Source organism: Homo sapiens, chromosome 6, assembly GCF_000001405.40.
Source record: "Homo sapiens chromosome 6, GRCh38.p14 Primary Assembly".
Taxonomy (NCBI): Eukaryota; Metazoa; Chordata; class Mammalia; order Primates; family Hominidae; genus Homo; species Homo sapiens.
In genome coordinates, this window is record NC_000006.12 from 4594131 (window position 1) to 4612465 (window position 18335).

General features: G+C 43.8%; 1 long non-coding RNA gene across 1 annotated transcript; it reads left to right on the forward strand.

Moving 5' to 3' along the window:
• The first annotated feature begins 16434 nt into the window (after positions 1 to 16434).
• Positions 16435 to 17789, forward strand: KU-MEL-3 (uncharacterized LOC497048). Its single transcript, NR_122107.1, has 2 exons — positions 16435 to 16682; positions 16848 to 17789. It is a non-coding gene; the product is annotated as an uncharacterized LOC497048 (long non-coding RNA).
• The last annotated feature ends 546 nt before the right edge of the window (positions 17790 to 18335 follow it).

Consider the following 18335-nt stretch of genomic DNA (forward strand, 5'->3'; position numbering starts at 1 on the left):
TTCTTATTTCCCCATTTTTTGTGTGAATTATTGCATCAAAATTTACATACACTTACATAAGCAATGCCATATACATAGTGCTTAATGAATAATCAGAAAGCGAACTCTGTAACTCCTCTTGAGGGTTCATTGCTAATACCCAGAAGCCCTCTTGTTCCCCTACTCCTAAGAGGTAACCACCTAGGTCTACATCACCAAGTGATATGTACCAGAGTTTCATTTTACCTGCTTTTTAACTTTATATAAATGTGATCACATTGTATTCTTTGTCTTGCTTCTGTTCTAAGATTCTCTCATGTTGCTTGTGTAGTGGTGTGTCCATTTTCATTGTTTTGTAGTATTTTATTGTTTGGCCATGTGACACTTCACATGTCCATTCTATAGGTGATGAATATTTGGATTGCTTCCCAATGCAGCTGAGGTGAACCAGGCTGCCATGAGTATTCTTGTACGTTGCAGACCTTGCTGTGCATTTGCCTAAGGTTCTCTAGGTATGCACCTAAGAGTGGAATTGCTGGGCCATAGAGTATGTGGATTTTTTTTTTAATTTTTTTATTTCCATAGGTAATTGAGGAACAGGTGGTGTTTGGTTACATGAGTCAGTTCTTCAGTGGTGATTTGTGAGATTTTGGTTGCACCCACCACCCGAGCAATACAGACTGCACTCTATTTATAGTCTTTTATCCATCACCCCCTTCCCACCTTTTCCCCGAGTCCCCAAAGCCCATTGTGTCATTCTTATGCCTTTGTATCCTCATAGTTTACCTCCCACTTATGAGTGAGAACATATGATGTTTGGTTTTCCATGCCTGAGTTACTTTACTTAGAATAATAGTCTCCAATCTCATCCGGGTCACTGAAAATGCCATTAATTTATTCCATTTTATGATTTTATGGCTGTGTAGTATTCATATATATCACGGTTTCTTTATCCACTCTTTGATTGATGGGCATTTGGGTTGGTTCCACGTTTTTGCAATTGTGAATTGTGCTGCTATAAACCTGCGTGTGCAAGTATCTTTTTCGTATCATGACTTATTTTCCTCTGAGTAGATACCCCGTAGTGGGATTGCTGGATCAAATGGTAGGTCTCATTTTAGTTCTTTAAGGAATCTCTACACTGTTTTCCATAGTGGTTGTACTACTTTACATTCCCACCAACAGTGTAGAAGTGTTCCCTGTTCTCTGCATCCATGCCAACATCTACTACTTTTTATTATTTATTTATTTATTTATTTATTTTGAGACAGAGCCTTGCTCTGTCGCCCAGGCTGGAGTGCAATGGCATGATCTTGGCTCACTGCAACTTCTGCCTGCTGGGTTCGAGCAATTCTGCTGCCTCAGCCTCCTGAGTAGCTGGGACTACAGGTGCACACCGTCATGCCCAGCTACTTTTGTTTTTGTACTTTAGTAGAGACGGGGTTTCACCGTGTTGCCCAGGCTGGTCTTGAACTCCTGAGCTCAGGCAATCTGCCTGCCTCAGCCTCCCAAAGTGCTAGGATTACAGGCATGAGCCACCGTGCCCAGCCTATTTTTAAATTTTTTTTATTATGGCTATTCTTAAAGGAGTAAGGTGGTATCACATTGTAGTTTTGATTTGCATTTCCCTGATAATTAGGGTTGTTGAGCATTTTTCACACTTTTGTTGGCCATTTGTATATCTTCTTTTGAGAATTGTCTATTCATGTCCGTAGCCCACTTTTTTCTTTTTTTTCTTTTTTTTTTTTTTTTTTTTTTTTGCAGTTGCAAGATTTAATAGAGTGAAAACAGAGCTCCCATACAAGGGGAGGGGACCCAAAGTGGGTTGCCGTTGCTGGCTCGAATGCCTGGGTTTATATACTGATCAATGTCCCTCCCCCTGTGCTCTCAGGCAACAGATGATTGGCTATTTCTTCACCTCCTGTTTTTGCCTAATTAGCATTTTAGTGAACTCTCCTTACCATCTGATTTGTCGGGTGTGAGCTAAGTTGCAAGCCGCTTGCTGATTTGTTTGAGTTCGTTGTAGATTCTGGATATTAGCCCTTTCTTTGTCAGATGTATAGATTGTGAAGATTTTCTCCCACTCTATGGGTTGTCTGTTTACTCTGCTGACTGTTCTTTTTGCTGTGCAGAAGCTCTTTAGTTTAATTAAGTCCCAGATATTTATCTTTGTTTTTACTGCATTTGCTTTTTGGTGCCTCTTCATGAAATCCTTGCCTAAGCCAAAGTCTAATACGGTTTTTCCAATGTCATCTTCTAGAATTTTTATAGTTTCAGGTCTTAGATTTAAGTCTTTAATTCATCTTCAGTTGATTTTTTATAAGGTGAGAGATGAGGATCCAGTTTCCTTCTCCTACATGTGGCTAGCCAATTATCCCAGCATCATTTGTTGAAAAGGGTGTCCTTCACCACTTTGTTTTTGTTTGCTTTGTCAAAGATTAGTTGGCTGTAGGTATTTGGGTTTATTTCTGGGTTCTCTGTTGTGTTCCATTTGTCTATGTGCCTATTTTTATACCAGTACCATGCTGTTTTGGTGACTATGGCCTTATAGTATAGTTTGAAATCAGGTAATGTGATGCCTCCAGATTGGTTCTTTTTGCTTAGTTTTGCTTTGGCTATGTGAGCTCTTTTTTGGTTCCATATGAATTTTAGAATTGTTTTTTCTAACTCTGTGAAGAATGATGGTGGTATTTTGATGGGAATTGCAATGAATTTGTAGATTGCTTTTGGCAGTATGGTCATTTTCACAATATCAATTCTACCCATCCATTAGCATGGGACAGGTTTCCATCTATGTCATCTGTGATTTCTTTCAGCAGTGTTTTGTAGTTTTCTTTATAGAGATCTTTTGCCTCCTTTGTTAGGTATATACCTAAGTATTTCTTTCTTTCTTTTTTTTTTTTTTCTTTTTTGCAGCTATTGTTAAAGGGGTTGAGTTCTTGATTTGATTCTCAGCTTGGTTGTTATTGGTCTATAGAAGAGCTACTGATTTGTGTACATTAATTTTGTATCCAGAAACTTTGCTGAATTCTTTTATCAGTTCTAGGAGCTTTCTGGAGGGATCTTTAGGGTTTTCTAAGTAAACAATTATATCCTCAGCAAACAGCAACAGTTTGACTTCCTCTTTACCAGTTTGGATGCCCTTTATTTCTTTCTTTTGTCTGATTGCTCTGGCTAGGACTTCTAGGACTATGTTGAAGAGGAGTGGTGAGGGTGAGCATCCTTGTATTGTTCCAGTTGAAACGGCTTTCACCTTTTCCCATTCAGTATTATATTGGCTGTGGGTTTGTCATAGACGGCATTTATTACATTGAGGTATGACCCTTGTATGCTGATTTTGCTGAGAGTTTTAAACATAAAGTGATGCTGGATTTTGTCAAATGCTTTCTCTGCATCTATTGAGATAATCAGGTGATTTTTGTTTTTAATTCTGTTTATGTGGTGTATTATATTTATTGACTTGCATATGTTAAAGGATCCCTTCATTCCTGGTATAAAGCCCACTTGATCATGGTGGATTATCTTTTTGATATGTTGTCAGATTCAGTTAGCTAGTATTTTGATAAAATTTTTTTGCATATAGGGATATTGGTCTGTAGTTTTCTTTTTTGGTTATGTTCTTTCCTGGTTTTGGTATTTGGGTGATATTAGCTTCATAAAATGATTTAGGGAGGGTTCCCTCTTTCTCTATTTTGTGAAATAGCATCAGTAGGATTGGTACCAATTCTTCTTTGAATGTCTGATAAGATTTTTGCTGTGAATTATCTGGTCCTGGACTTATTCTGCTGTGAATCTGTCTGGTCCTGGACTTCTTTGTTGTTGGTACATTTTTTTTTTTTTTTTTTTGAGATGGAGTCTCGCTCTGTCGCCCAGGCTGGAGTGCAGTAGTGAAATCTCAGCTCACTGCAAGCTCTGCCTCCCAGGTTCACACCATCCTCCTCCCTCAGCCTCCCGAGTAGCTGGGACCACAGTCGCCCGCCACCGCGCCTGGCTAATTTTTTGTATTTTTAGTAGAGATGGGGTTTCACCGTGTTAGCTAAGATGGTCTTGATCTCCTGACCTCATGATCCACCGGCCTCGGCCTCCCAAAGTGCTGGGATTTCAGTTGTGAGCCACCATGCCCAGCCTGTTGTTGGTACATTTTTAATTACCATTTCAACCTCGTTGCTTGTTATTGGTCTGTTCGGGGTATCTAATTCTTTCTGATTTTAGCTAGGAGGGTTGTATCTTTCCAGGAATTTATCCATCTCTGAGCATGTGGATATTCAATCTCATAGACAGGGCAACTGCTTTCCAAAATGGCATTCATAGAGTTTCACTAGACTCTATGAATTCTAAGTTCTAAGTTCATAGAACTTTCGCTAGAGTTGCTGTGGCTCTAAACCCTTGCTGACGATTAGTATTTTCAGAATTTTTAGTTCTTTCCTGTCTCCTGTGTAAGGCTATCTCATTGTAGTTTTAGTTTGCATTTTCCTGATGACTAATAAATTTGAGCCACTTTTTCATGTTTGTTGACCATCTGAATTTCCTCTTTGGTTTTGTGCCTGTCTAATAAGCCCCTTTTCTTATTGGGTTATTTCTTTTCCATATTAATCTGGTTAAGTTCTTTCTGTATATTTGAAATCCTAGTCATTTGTCAGTATACGTGTTGCAACTGTCTTCGCCCACCTGATGCTTGTCTTTTCACCCATTTTACAGTGTGCTGTACACATCTGTTCCTCTAATTGAGTTCTGTGCTTACAAACTGAGAACTGTGTTTGTCCACAAGCCCATTGAAGTGGGTGGTGAATGTTATTGTCATTTCCATAATAACTTGAATGCTTTGGGAAAACTTTATAAAGCTTAGTTGTTTAAACTCTTATATAAACTGATAGTGATATAGATATAGATTTGATATAGATATGGAATTAGGTGGGGCAATGCAATTATGAAAGAATTGGGCTTGGGGAAGGGTCAGGAAACCTAGAAGGAATCTGCATTCATTGTTCTTCTTAAGTGTCTCTAAGATCTCTAAGATTTCTAACAAATTCTATGTTAAAGACTCTGAAACTGGAATTTGTAAATGATGTACTTTGAGTGTGGTTTATGTAAGAAAGACCATGCTGAATTCTCAGCAAACCTAAGTACGAAGAAAGAATCTGATGATTGGTGAATAAATAGAGTATAGAAGCATCATTCTAGTAATTTCCCACTTTAATTTTTCAAATTAATTATTCAATGATTAGTTTCACTCATATCAAACAAGAGGGCTATATGCCAGCACAAATTATGATTTACAATTATTTCTTATACTAAATTTAACATGTTAAGATACATAAACATCCTAGTATTTGCATTTCGGTTTGTTTTTTGTTTTGGGTTTTTTGTTTGTTTTTTGGTTTTGGAGTTTGTTTTTTGTTTGTTTGTTTGAGACAGAGTCCCGCTCTGTCACCCAGGGGCTAGAGTTCAGTAGCATGATCTCGGCTCACTGTAACCTCCACCTCCCAGGTTCCAGCCATTCTCCTGCCTCAGCCTCCCGAGTAGCTGGGATTACAGGCGTGCACCACCACACCCAACTAATTCTTGTATTTTTAGTGGAGACAGGGTTTCACCATGTTGGCCAGGCCGATCTCAAACTCCCGACCTCAAGTGATCCGCCCGCCTCGGCCTCCCAAAGTGTTGGGATTACAGGCATGAGCCACCACACCCGGCCATGCTTTTTGTACTGTGGTAAATATACATACCATAAAGTTTTAACCATTTTTAAGTGTAAATTTCAGTGACATTAAATACATTCACATTGTTGTGCAACCTCCAGCACCATTTTCAGAACATTTTTCATCTTCCCAAGGTGAAAATCTGCATCCATGAAGAAGTAACTTCCGATTACCCAGTGAGTGCCCCAGTCCCTGGCAGCCACCTTTCTACTTCATGTCTCTAGGAAGGTGATGACTCATGTAAGCGGAATCATACAGTATTTGACCTTTTGTATCTGGCTTATTTCACTCAACACATTGTCCTCCAGGTCCATCCATGTTGTAGCATGTATCAGAATGTCCTTCCTTTTTAAGGTTGAATCACATTCCTTTGTGATATGTCACTTTTTTTTATCCATTCATCTGTTGGTGGATACTTGGTTTGTTTCCATCCTTTGGTTATTGTGAGTAATGCTGCTATGAACATGGGTGTACAACTATCTGTTTGACACTCTGCTTCCAATTCATCTGCATATGTATTAGGAAGTAGAATTGCTGGATCATATGGTAATTTTACGTTTAATTTTTTTGAGGAATGCCATATTCCAGTATTTGCTTTTAACGTGAAGATTGTACAGCATCAGAATGTGTGTAAACCCCCGTCTCACAGGATCCAGCCATATAGGCCGTATTGCCTCTCAATATTGTCTTAGAAACGAATCTTGGATCCTAGAGCAATCTGACAGCAAGTCGGAAGGGATTCTAGAGGTCATCTAGCCCAACCTCATCGTCTTATCAAAGAGGATGTGGCAGCCCAGAGAAGTGATGCGACTTGCCCATGGCCACACAGTCTGTCGGGAAGAGAACCAGGGCAGAGCCTGGGCCACAGCCAATACTGTGTCCACAAGACCACAGAATATATGCCAGAAAAAGCAGGTGCTCAAATCCCTGAAATCACAACGGACATGTGGCCCCCTAAGAAGGAAGTGCTCTGGATTGAGTTCACCCTCTCCCTGCACGGTTGCAAGGGTAGGGCCTGCCCCACTGCACAAGCCCTGGGTGCTGGGCCTGACAGATGCTCTAATGGCCTCATGAGCCACCACACCCTAGGTCCGGCCTACCTTGCCTGGTGCCAGCCAGTCAGTTCACACCAGGGAGGCCAGGCCCAGCTGCACACAAGCCTGCTTCCTTATTGTCCTTTAGGGCGTCTCCTGTGATGCCTGCTCTGCCTGCTGGTCTGTGTTATTCTTGTCAATGGCCCATCCTTTCCTACCGAGTCTGAAACACACACACACACACACACACACACACACACACACAGCAGCTTCTGGAAGGCTTGCCATGTCTTCATCACCTGTCTCAGGATGGGCTGAGCTGTTGACAAAATGCAAAATAAGTGAGTTCTCTTTCTTCTCCCTTTTAATTTTCTTTCCTCCACACTTTGGCTGCCTTCTCCAAATTCCCAAAACTCTGAGGTAGTCCTCAGGATACCAGGAGCTTCTCACCACAGCATTCAACCTCAGCCACATGACCTCTATGGGCAGGAATTTTCTCTCCAAACTTGCCCTTCAGAAACTGAAACATTCTTTGTCTTTCTTGCTCTCAGTCAGTTGCCATATTGGAAAGCAGACCAATACAAATTTTTTTTCCCAGTGACAGTAATGAAACTATCTCACACATTGTCAGACGGACTTTGTTGTACAAAAATCAATTTCTTGTCCATTATCTCAAATGATCCCAACCTCAGTACTGTAGAAATATGTGAGGAAAAGATGAAACTCATCATTTCATTGACAAGAACACTGGTGTGCACTGGGCCCAAGAGCATGGAATTAAGACTCTAGGCCTCAGAGGACTTTCATGCTGTATTACGGAGTTCTACAAGGGATCACGCCAGACAACAGGCAAATGGACAAATCATCATGGATTCTAAACACTTCAGCACAGGACTCTTGGGGATGGCATAGTTTGGGAAAGGAGTGGCTCTTCAAGGAACCTTGCTGAGCCTCAGCTTTCTCAACTGAAGATGAGGCCAGCATCACCCCCAGGAGCATCACGAGGGTCGGTGGAGCCCAGGGTGAGGTACACTGGGGACCTGCAAGAAACTGGGAACTGCATGGATTTGGGAGGACTCATTGGGGCACAATAGGAGGGTCTCTTCTGTAAGGTCTTTCAAATCCCACCAAAATACTGGATGCCTAAGACTTGGAACGTCAGAGCCTTACCTTAGGGCAACAGCCTCTTGCGGAAGTACCTGGGCCCTGAGCCGGGTGGATTCCAGTTCCCCTGTAACAGCCTAGATGAGGGGCCAGGGGTTGAGGAAGGTGCAGGCCACAGCTGCAGAACGAGTGCTGTTGGGGTGTGTATGCTCCTGCAGGCTGAGGCTGTGTGCCACCCATGCAGGTGCTGCCCATGCTCCTCCCTGTGAATGCGCAAAGCAGAGGAGGCTGCAACTGTTAGAAGATGCGAAGGAGGTGGGGGAAGTTACATCTCCTCTCCCACCTCTAGAAATCCTCTTCCAAATGCACCAGAATGCAGAGATGGAGGTGAGGACTCCAGTGTGACCTGCGGGGCCCAGGCACAGCTGCCTTTCTCAGCAGCGGTGGCTTTTCCATCAGCAAGGCACTGGATGCTCTGGGGAAGGAGGTGTGCATGGCTTTATTTTAAACCACTGCCCTGCCCCTCCCTAGTTACAAGGAAACTTGCTGAGTCTCAGCTTTCTCAACTGAAGATGAGGCTAACGTCATCCATGGCAGCGTAATGAGGGCCGGTGGAGCCCAGGGTGAGGTGCACTGGAGACCTTCAAGAAACACTTCTTTGAGAAGACTGTTCAGGAGCCTGGTAGGTTGCCTGGATTCAAGCAAAGGGCTCTGTGGGTGGGGTAACAACATCGCTCGCTAACAGATGAATGGGGAGTCCTTTTTCTAATTAACCTCCAGGCAACACTCAAGTTGTGTTTTCAATCCAAGCTATACAATATAATACCTGGGGTGTCTGAAGCCCTCCCCCAGAGATTCTGATGCAATCATCAGTGGAAGTCCCAGCATGGGGACAGTGAAAGCTTCCCCAGTGGCTCTAACATGCAGCTGACAGCGAGGACTCCTGTCCAGTAGGAATGGCATACAGCGGGCATGTTTTGAAGGACAGACCATGCTTGCAGGCTCTAGGTGGGATACAAGAAGGAGAGTTTGGCCGGGGAGGAGGCAGGATGAGGGCGCTGGGGCACCTTGAGGGGAAGGAGGTGGCAGACAAAAGCCCAGGGACACCCAGGCCTACTTCCCCACAGCCTTGCTGCGCTCTTAATGATAGGGGATCTGGGGTTTGAGTGTCCATGAAAGAAAGGACTAAAGGGATGGGCTAACATCCTTCTTATAATACAAAAGTGTGCCATGGATGCACACATATTTTGCTGCTGCCACGTGAGATTAAAGAATTGTTCTGTATTTTGCATTTCTGCGGCACACTTGCAGTTTACAAAGTGCTTTCACAACACTTATCTCATTGGAATCCTCCAGGAGCCCTGGGAGGGGCAGGGCACCCACCGGCGTCTCCATGTTTCACAGATGAGGAAACAGGCTCAGAAGATTACGTGAGGTGCCTGGTTCTGGGAGGGTGCTGAGGCAGAGCCGGGCTGGAATTTGGCCTTCACAAGGCCAAAGTGCTCCTGAGATCTCCTCTGGGGGACTATGAGTCATGGTGGTTTCTACCAAAACTCCGGCCGCAGCACAACCATGTTCATACACGAAGTTGAGAAATTTGGCCCAGCTCTTCCCTGTTTGCCCAGGACTTCCCAGTTTTTGCAGGGGAAGTCCCATGTCTCAGGAAACCCCTCTATCTTGGGCAAACCCAGATCTATTCCTTACAGGAACAGAATATATTCAACTATTTGATATCTTTGAACACATACACATACCAAAATGTGTTTCCTGGTAAATGATTCAGATACTCCAAGGCATATCGAGAGTTTCCAAATGAACTCAATATTTAGACAAATCTTTCCTTGGTAATGTGACCTATTTATAAAGAATACAGTGAAAACAATGGAAGATTATTGGATTAATGGAACATTTTGTTGTGCCTCTGTGCATTTTATTTTTATATTTTGTCCTATTTTGATATTTTATTTACAAATAAAATGATGATATCCACATTTGACTGATTTATCAGTTGTATTTTAATTGTAAAAATGGAAAGATTCTGCTATTGTGTATCTCTTGGTTAAACCCTCTGTGGGAAGCTGGCCTGTTTGGGCTATGAGAGCCATAAGTGGAGACAGAGATTCTTAACATTTTTAGGGCATGACCCCTTTGGCTGGCTGGTAAAGCTTACGGTCTCTCTTCTCTTCTCTTTTTCTTTCCTTCTTCCTTCTCCCTCCCTCCCTTTCTTTCTTTCTTTGTTTCTTTTTCTCTTCCTTTCTCTCTCTCTTCTTTCTTTCTTTTCTTTCTCTCTTTCCTTCTTTCTTTCTCTTTTTCTTAACAGGGTCTCACTTTGTCACCCAGGCTTGAGTGCAGTGGTGCCATCATGGCTCACTGCAACCTCTGCCTCCCAGGCTCAAGTGATCTTCCCACCTCAGCCTTCCAAGTAGCTGGGACTACAAGTGCACACTACCACACCTGGCTAATTTTGGTATTTTTAGTAGAGACGGGATCTCACTATACAGTCTAGGTTGGTCTCGAACTCCTGAACTCAAGTGATCCTCTTGCCTTGACCACCCAAAGTGCTGAGATTACAGGCATGAACCACCACACCAGGCCAGAATAGTGTTTTCAATAAACAAAACACAAATGATTAAAAGGAAATACAGCTATCAAGATACTAAAATATTTTACATTATTACATTTGTTTCCTCATTAACACATTAAATAAGGTCTACTGGCAGCTCTAATAACCACCATGATTTTGAAATGGCAACGAGAATAAGTGACTTCCCAAGATATCTGCAACAACTATAGTGTGAGAAGAAAATTTCTGTGATTTCTTTGGTAACAAATTCACAGGAACTACTGATATTACTGTGGTTTGTTGCCTATGCTCATACGTGAAAGAAATGCTAAATTTCAGTTAGCAATTAGTACAAATAAATAATTTTTTTTCTCATTCAAGACCATGAATCCCTTGGTATCAGGTTCAGAACCCCTGGCCTAAAGGTTTTATCATGTATCTGGTTAGTGAATCCTAATTATTAATAAATTTTCAATTTTGGGGACAGCATTTCCCAAGCCCTGTTCATTGGAGTCCCACTTTTAGGAAACGTTAAAAACTGTCTGCTGTAGGTTGAATCTGTGTCCTCCCAAAACATATGGTGACATCCCAACCCCTGGTACCTGTGATTGTGACCACATTTGCCAATAGGGTGTTTGCAGATGTAATGAAGGTAAAGTGAGGTCATAATAGATTTGGTTGGGCCTTGATCTAATAGGATTGGTGATTTTATAAGAGAGAAGAGGAGACACAGAGGCATGCAGGGAGAGCATACCTGATTGTGAAGGCAGAGGCTGGAGTGACGCTGATGCACCACGGAACCCCACGGATTGTTGGCAACAGCAGAAGTAAAGGCAAGGGCATGGAGCTGACCCCCTCCCTAGAACCTGCAGACAGCATGGCCCCACCAACACCTCGATTTCAGACTTCCAGCCTCCAAAACCGTGAAAAAATAAATTTCTGTTGTTTTGAGTCACCCAATTTGTGGCACTAGGAGACTAATACAGTATTTAAAAAAAAAACAACAAGATGATTTGCAGTTAAAACATTTGGGAATCCATGAGCATTGAGTTTCCCTTTTGGAAACAGACATACACAATGTACCCTGGACTATCAGAGATTCTAAGGAAAACTCATAGTAAAGTGCTAGTTTGACCTACAGTGCACTCCAAGTTTGTGTAGCCAAAAAATACCTTGTTTGTGGCACAGCTAAATAGTGATGTTCAGTGGAGCACTAGGTGTCCCAGGAGTACAAAAACCAACAATCAAATGTATAAAGGGATTGAAGACTTTATGGAAAAGTGTGGGGAAACGGTGCCCTGGCACCACTAGCGTCCCAGAACCACAGCATGCCAGGACAGACAGAAGCCTCAGACCTCAGTTCATTTCTGCCACTCATTTTTGCACTCAGGAAACTGAGGCCTAGCTTAAAAAGCGTGTTGGCCAAAACACAAACACAGCACTAATGGTTGCATAACTGGAAGAAAAATTTATTATTAGATACTCAATTCTTCACTCAGAGTCACATGAATTTATTTCTGAATAAGCCCATCCTATAGAATTATAAACCCACACTACCTAAAAGCTGGGTTCTACCTTCCCCACAATTGAACTGAATTCCTACTCCTGCAATTGGCTTTTTAAAATTATGCATGGAGCCCGCTAGGGGAGGAATCTGAGGCCAATACATGCTCCAGCGAAGTGACAGCTCCTCAACGGCTCCCTCCAGGAGACAAGCAACCTGCCCTCAGTGCTCAGCCTGCCTGCTGGAACCCGAGACCTCTGCACTGCAGGTGCAGCACGCGTTGCTGATGCCACGCAAGTGTAGAAGGGGGTCTGTAGGAAGACCACCAGCTCTAGGGACTGCAGGGGTGGGGCCTGAGTGGGTTAGGTCACCTGGGACTGGGATGCTTGTGATTGGTCAAGGGAGTGCTGATCCTTGGAGAACTTACAAAAAAGGGAGGCAAACGAAATAGGGCAGGGGATGGGTCACTCCGAGACACTTGCTTCTCACCCCAATATCCTTACGTAAACTTTAACTTTGCTTATACATTTGCCTGATTTCCGTTTTTAAGCCACTCAGTGCCTCTTTGGAGCCAACTCACACAGGCTCTAAAGAGAAGAGTATCAAACACCCAGAAATTTTGCAAGCCAGTTGTTAAGCTATTGGCAATTTGAAATTGGCCACAGTGGGAGTATTTTTTACACCACAGATATTGGCAAATGTTACAAATCAGGGTTGCTGAAGGATTTTGGTCCATAGAGCTGACTTTCCACTGCACCAAGTCATTCTCCATTGACTTTGCTTTCCTCCAGCATGGTCTGACACGTTCCTGCCGGGATTGTGGGCAGCTGCCCCTTGCTGTCTTTCTAACATTAGCCCATGCATCTGTAATCTTTCTGTGGGAACCACTGTTCTTCTGCCCTGCCCTTTTGTAAACTCTCCCCACTTGGAACGCAAAGTGAAAATGAAGCCCTCGCTGCCAGAAACAGGGACACAGAGAAACACCTTGGAAACACTGCTCCTCCCAGTCGGCAGCACCAAAGGCTTCACAGCTCCATGTAATTTCACGCTCAACATCAAGTGATTCACAATAGCACCTTGTAACCAGAAAAGGCACAAAGCGCCATCCTCATTGCTCTGCTGTCTGCAGGAAGCAGGAGGCTCTATCTTCCAGCATTGGTGGCCGCGGCCCTTGTGCCAGGCTGCCTGCACTTGGAGCTCATCCATCCCTGGTAGGAGCACCCGGACTCCACTCCAGATGGTGGGAAGCCTGGCCAGTGGAGCGAGTTACCAGCTTCCGCCGAGTGGTGAGAACGAATGACTCTAATGTGTGTTTCCTTGGCGGCTTGACTTGCTGCTCCTTCATTCTTGACATTCGGCCAAGATCCCTCCTGATTTTCTAATGATCCCCCTGTAACAGCCTTGGAAATCTCCCACTCACCAGAACTCATGCAAACGTATGCCAGATGAACAGAAAAAGAATATGATCTAATTGTTTTTTCAGGCAAAATGTGCAGTAACCAAGAGCAGGTTAGACCTGTTGAAAATTCTTATAGGCTGGTCATTTGTGAGTCATACTTACATGACCCTGAATTGCCTTGCTTGGGGTTAATTGCATGGTTTGGCCAGCTGCCTCTATAATTGGCTCGATTTGGTTACAGAAGCCACTAAAACAATGATCTGAGGTCACTGGCTGTTTCAGACCAAGGGGCAGCAAAATTGAAAGCAAAGCGACCAGCCAAATTAACCAATAAAAAGACCAATTTGACGCTACACGGGAAATATAACCTTATATAAATCTGGGGAGAGCAATTAGTTTGAAACATTTGCAATTGTTGATATTTGACTGTTTTAATCTTTTAAAAACGGCAATTTTAAACAGCTCAGCCAAATAGTCCCCTTGGTTCTCAAGCAATCACTACTCTAACATTTCAGAATTGTCTGGGCTGGGGCTGGGGAGAAGTCAGCAGGAGAAAGAAACACATCTCTCACCATGCTTCCTGTGGTTCTGACACCTTCTTCTCAAGTACAGTTTAGTGGAAAGAGCCCTGGTTTAAGACTCAGGAGACCTAATTTTAGCCCCAATTGACTTCCTATAGGGCCTTCGACAAGCCATTTCTCCTTTAAGTCTCGTTCTGTTCAACTGAAACAATATCATAAACATTCTCGTGATGCCGAAATGAACTGACGGATGGGAACATGCTTTTTTAAAGTGAAAATTATTACACAGATAATTCATAAAGGCTACACACATTATAGTTATCAACTCCTATTGATATGTGAGTGTGTATACTCCCGCAGGAGAGAATAAACTTTGAATGCAACCATAACTTATTACCCCTTTGTTCCAGTGTCACTTCTGATAGCAAACAATGCCAAAACAGTAACAAATTGCCATTGTATTTTCCATTAGTCATCAGAGTATAAAAGATTTGATAAATAGCGAGAAAACACATTGGCTCTTTCGGGTGGGAAATCCGTGTTATTGACAGTAGCAAATTACATGTCTTTGAAAAAGATGGTGTCACGGTTCTTAGAGATTATTTGCATTGCTACTGAGACATAAGAAAACCTCAAGGAGCTTTTAAAGGCCGTGTCTGTGAGATGAATGGTCTGGTGTCCTCACCCAGCCCCCCTTGTTCCAGCATTCGTGTGACACTGCCGGGCAGCTGCCTTGGCATGAGCCTTCTCTGTCCAAGAACAGACTGCCAGGCCTGAACACGGAGAGGAGGAACAGCCTCTGGGGTATTCCCTGACTTTGGGGAGGCACGATGACCAGGCTGGGGCCTGTGCTTTGGGGGAAAGCACACAAGGAGATCGAGGGTGTTTTTTCTGTGTCCTCTGCTCCTGTCCTTGCCATTGCCTCTGCGCAGCTGCCTCCTGTTCTTTCACTCCGGTGACAGCCCGGGCAGATGCCTCCCTCCAGAGCCGCTGCCAGCCCTACTCCATGGACAGCTGTCGCCACGGCCCCAGGAGAGCAGCGTGACCACCGGCACCAGCCATGAGGAGGGCACATCTGCAGAGAATCCCCTACCCCTGGCTGCGGGCCTGAGGGCTCAGCGCCCTACTGTACAGGACGTTCCCAGCTGGCGCCACTTAACACGAGCCTCTTCTTCACTTGGTTTTTCACCTCTGAGATGTTCCGCTCTGCTGCAAGCAATAGGGTGTTTCACAGATCCATACTTGTCTTTACAATTTCCAGGCTTAGGAAATATTTTTAAATTTTATTGATGACCTTTCCAAAGTTTAAATGAGTTAGCCCTTGGATGTTAAGAGGAAATAGTATTTTAAAGACAAAGTAAAAGAATGCCAAATCTATGAGGACATTATGCTAAGTGAAATAAGCCAGTCACAAAATGACAAGTATTGCTGATTCCACCTATATAAGGTCCTAGATTAGTCAAACTCGTAGAGACTGAGAGTAGAAAGGGGATGCCAGGGACTGCAGAGTGGGGCTAGGGAAGTGGGGAGTTAGGATTTAACGTGTACAGAGTTCCAGTTCGGGAGGATGGAAAGACTTCCGGAGGTTAGGCACAGGGGCTCATGCCTATAATCTCCACACTTTCAGAGACCAAGGAAGGAGAACTGCTTGAGGCCAGGAGTTTGAAACCAGACTGGGCAACATAGTGAGATCCCATCTCTACAAAAAATTTAAAAAATTAAACAGTGTGGGGACGTGAGCCTGTAGCCCCAGCTACTCAGGAGGCTGAGGTGAGAGGATTGTTTGAACCCAGGAGGTTGAGGCCACAGTGAGCTGTAATCACACCACTCCACTCCAGTCTGGGTAACAGAGCGACACCCTATCTCAAATAAATAAATAAATCTTTTTAAAAATAAAAGAATTGGATATGATGTTAAATTTTATGTTATGTGTATATTGCCACAATTTAAAATTTTTTAAAGAATACCAAATCAAGAAGTGCTAAAGTTCATGGAATTACCTATATCAGAGGTGGTGGGAGTCAGGAGTATGGAAAAGAACCCTTCAAATGAAAAGGTTCATGATTATCGAAAACAGCTTGTCCTGTTTTTACCAACTGGAAACTTTCTCTAGGAAAGCAGCTATTCCTAATGGCATTTCTAAAATTATGCAAACACAAAACCAAAAAGAAGGCAGGCACCCAGTAAAGTTATCTAAGACTTTGGTGGGAAAATAAATAAATAAACCTGCCGCCTCACGGTTGTTTCTCCTCACCTACAAGGCTTTGATTTCTGAGATGGGGCCTGAAGCAGGAATTCCTCACACAATGGATGCTCAATTTGTCACAGGATGTGCCTCTCCACTCTCATACCAGATAAAAGGTTAGCCTGGTTTTTCATCTAGCTGTGTCTCCCTCAGAATCAAAACTATCGTCCTCCTCAGTGCTGGATCGAGTCCTTTCATCTTTAATTTGACCAAAATGGAAACCAGGATCATGAGAATTCCTCGGGGCTGGTGTTGAAAGGAATTTCCCCTGCTCTTGCCAGAGTCTCGAGGGGTGGCCTCCTTCCACGGGTGAGTAACCACAAGTCCATGTGACCGAACAAACAGCATATTCTTTTGTTCAAAAGAGAAAAACAACATTGAAGGAAATCAGCTGAAGAAAATTGAGATGAAAGCCAGTCCACGCCTCAGCATCCTGAGGAAATGTTCTTCCTTGATGCTCTGAGCTCTCTAAGAAGTTACCACAAAACCAAACCCATCAGAAGTTTGCAGGACGTCCTTGTTTAGAGCTGGGAAATAAACCACGAAACAGCGCAAAGGAGAGTCCAGGCCTGCCAATGCTTCCGCGAACTCCTCGCCCCGACCTCATCCTTCTCCAGCTCCTACCTGCAGGCCTCAGGTGAGCTCCGGAGTCTAGTCATTCCTGTTGGGAGGCAAGTGTGTGACTGGTGTGCAAGTCAGGTCAGGAGGCTGCCTTGGTGTCCAGCAAGTCTTGTTTGCGGAGGCAGGGACTGCTGGGTTGGGGCACTTCCCGACCCTGTTTCTGCTCTTCTCCCCTCTGCAGGCCTCCTGACCTCCAGGCTCCTTACCCTCCCGCTGGCCTCTGCTCTACACTCATCTTTGTGCCCTGCTTCCAATCATGCCAGGCCTCGGGGTCCCTGTCTCTAACTTCACCATGAGACTCAGGTGCTTCTCTACACTCCACCCTCTCCAACACTGTTTGGAATCTCAGGCTTGGTCCCAATCCTATGGGCTAACTTTGAAAAGACCGCTGTTCATAAGGAGAGAGAAAGGAGGAAGAGATGAGAAAGGAAGACAGAGAAAGAAACTCTATGATCACGGTTTTTCCAAAATTCATGGTTAAATTAGAACTTACTATGTGCAAATATAGAAGCACGGGTCCACAGAGTTCCAGAGAATGAATGCTGACGACTAAGCACCAGCCTCCACTCCCTGCCCCATAGTGAGTATCCCTCCTCTGTGTGCTCATGCTGTGAATCCCCCCCATTCTACCACTTCTCCCCTCATCACTGGCTTGCTGTAGGATCAGAAGTTCCTTAAGAACAAGAACCTTCTCCCAGTGTATCCCCAGCACCTAATACAGAAGGTAATAAGGAGGAGGCATCTGCTAAACGCTTGTTGAAGGAGTGAAATTGAGAGACCAGGAAGGGCCTGCAGGCATTGTGGTGAGCCTGCCTGTTGTCCACGTGGCTGCAGCAAGCAAACATGGGTTTTCCTTGGAAGGACTGTGGGCCATCAACCCATTAATTGCCGAGTTGCTTCTATCAGGGCAAGGCTGTGGAATCCTGTTATCCTAGACAATGAGGTACAGGGTGCAAGCAGATCTGTGTGCTGCTGTCTTCCGGTAAACGGACCAAGTTCTCACTTCCCATCCTCCTCCCCAGTCTCACCCACCCGTGCTCCCAAGAGAGCAATTCATCATGTCAGTGTCTGGTGTTTTCTTGAAGGCCTGTGCTAAATAAAGTGGATTGTTTATAAAGTGGGATTATTCTCCAAGCACAGAAGCAGATTCCTGGGCAAGTTGTTGCGCTGAGTGTAATTAATGAAATGCTTTTTGGACCAAATTGTCCAATGGAATGAGATCACCCACTGCCAGACTGGGTCATTCAGACCCAAAATAGATGGTCTGTATTCAATCCTAGATTTAAAACACACACACACACACACACACACACACACACACGTTGCTTAACGTCCTTCGCATCAGGAAACTACCAGAATACAGCAGACTGCGATTGTTAGAAGTGTAGAGTCAAGGTACCATTTCTAATTTTCTCTTTTTTTCTATAGTCAACACTTATTCAGTGAGCCGAGATCATGCCACTGCACTCAAGCCTGGGGGACAGAGCGAGACTCCGTCTCAAAAAAAAAAAAAAAAAAAAAAAACAAAAAAACAAGAAAATTTTCTATGCATCCAGGTTAACATCTTTGAAGCAGCATTTTCTGTCATCCACTGGAGCACTCATTTAGACAGGACTGCATAACTGCAAAGCACCCTGGGGCCTGGAGCAATGGTGAGCATGAGGCATTG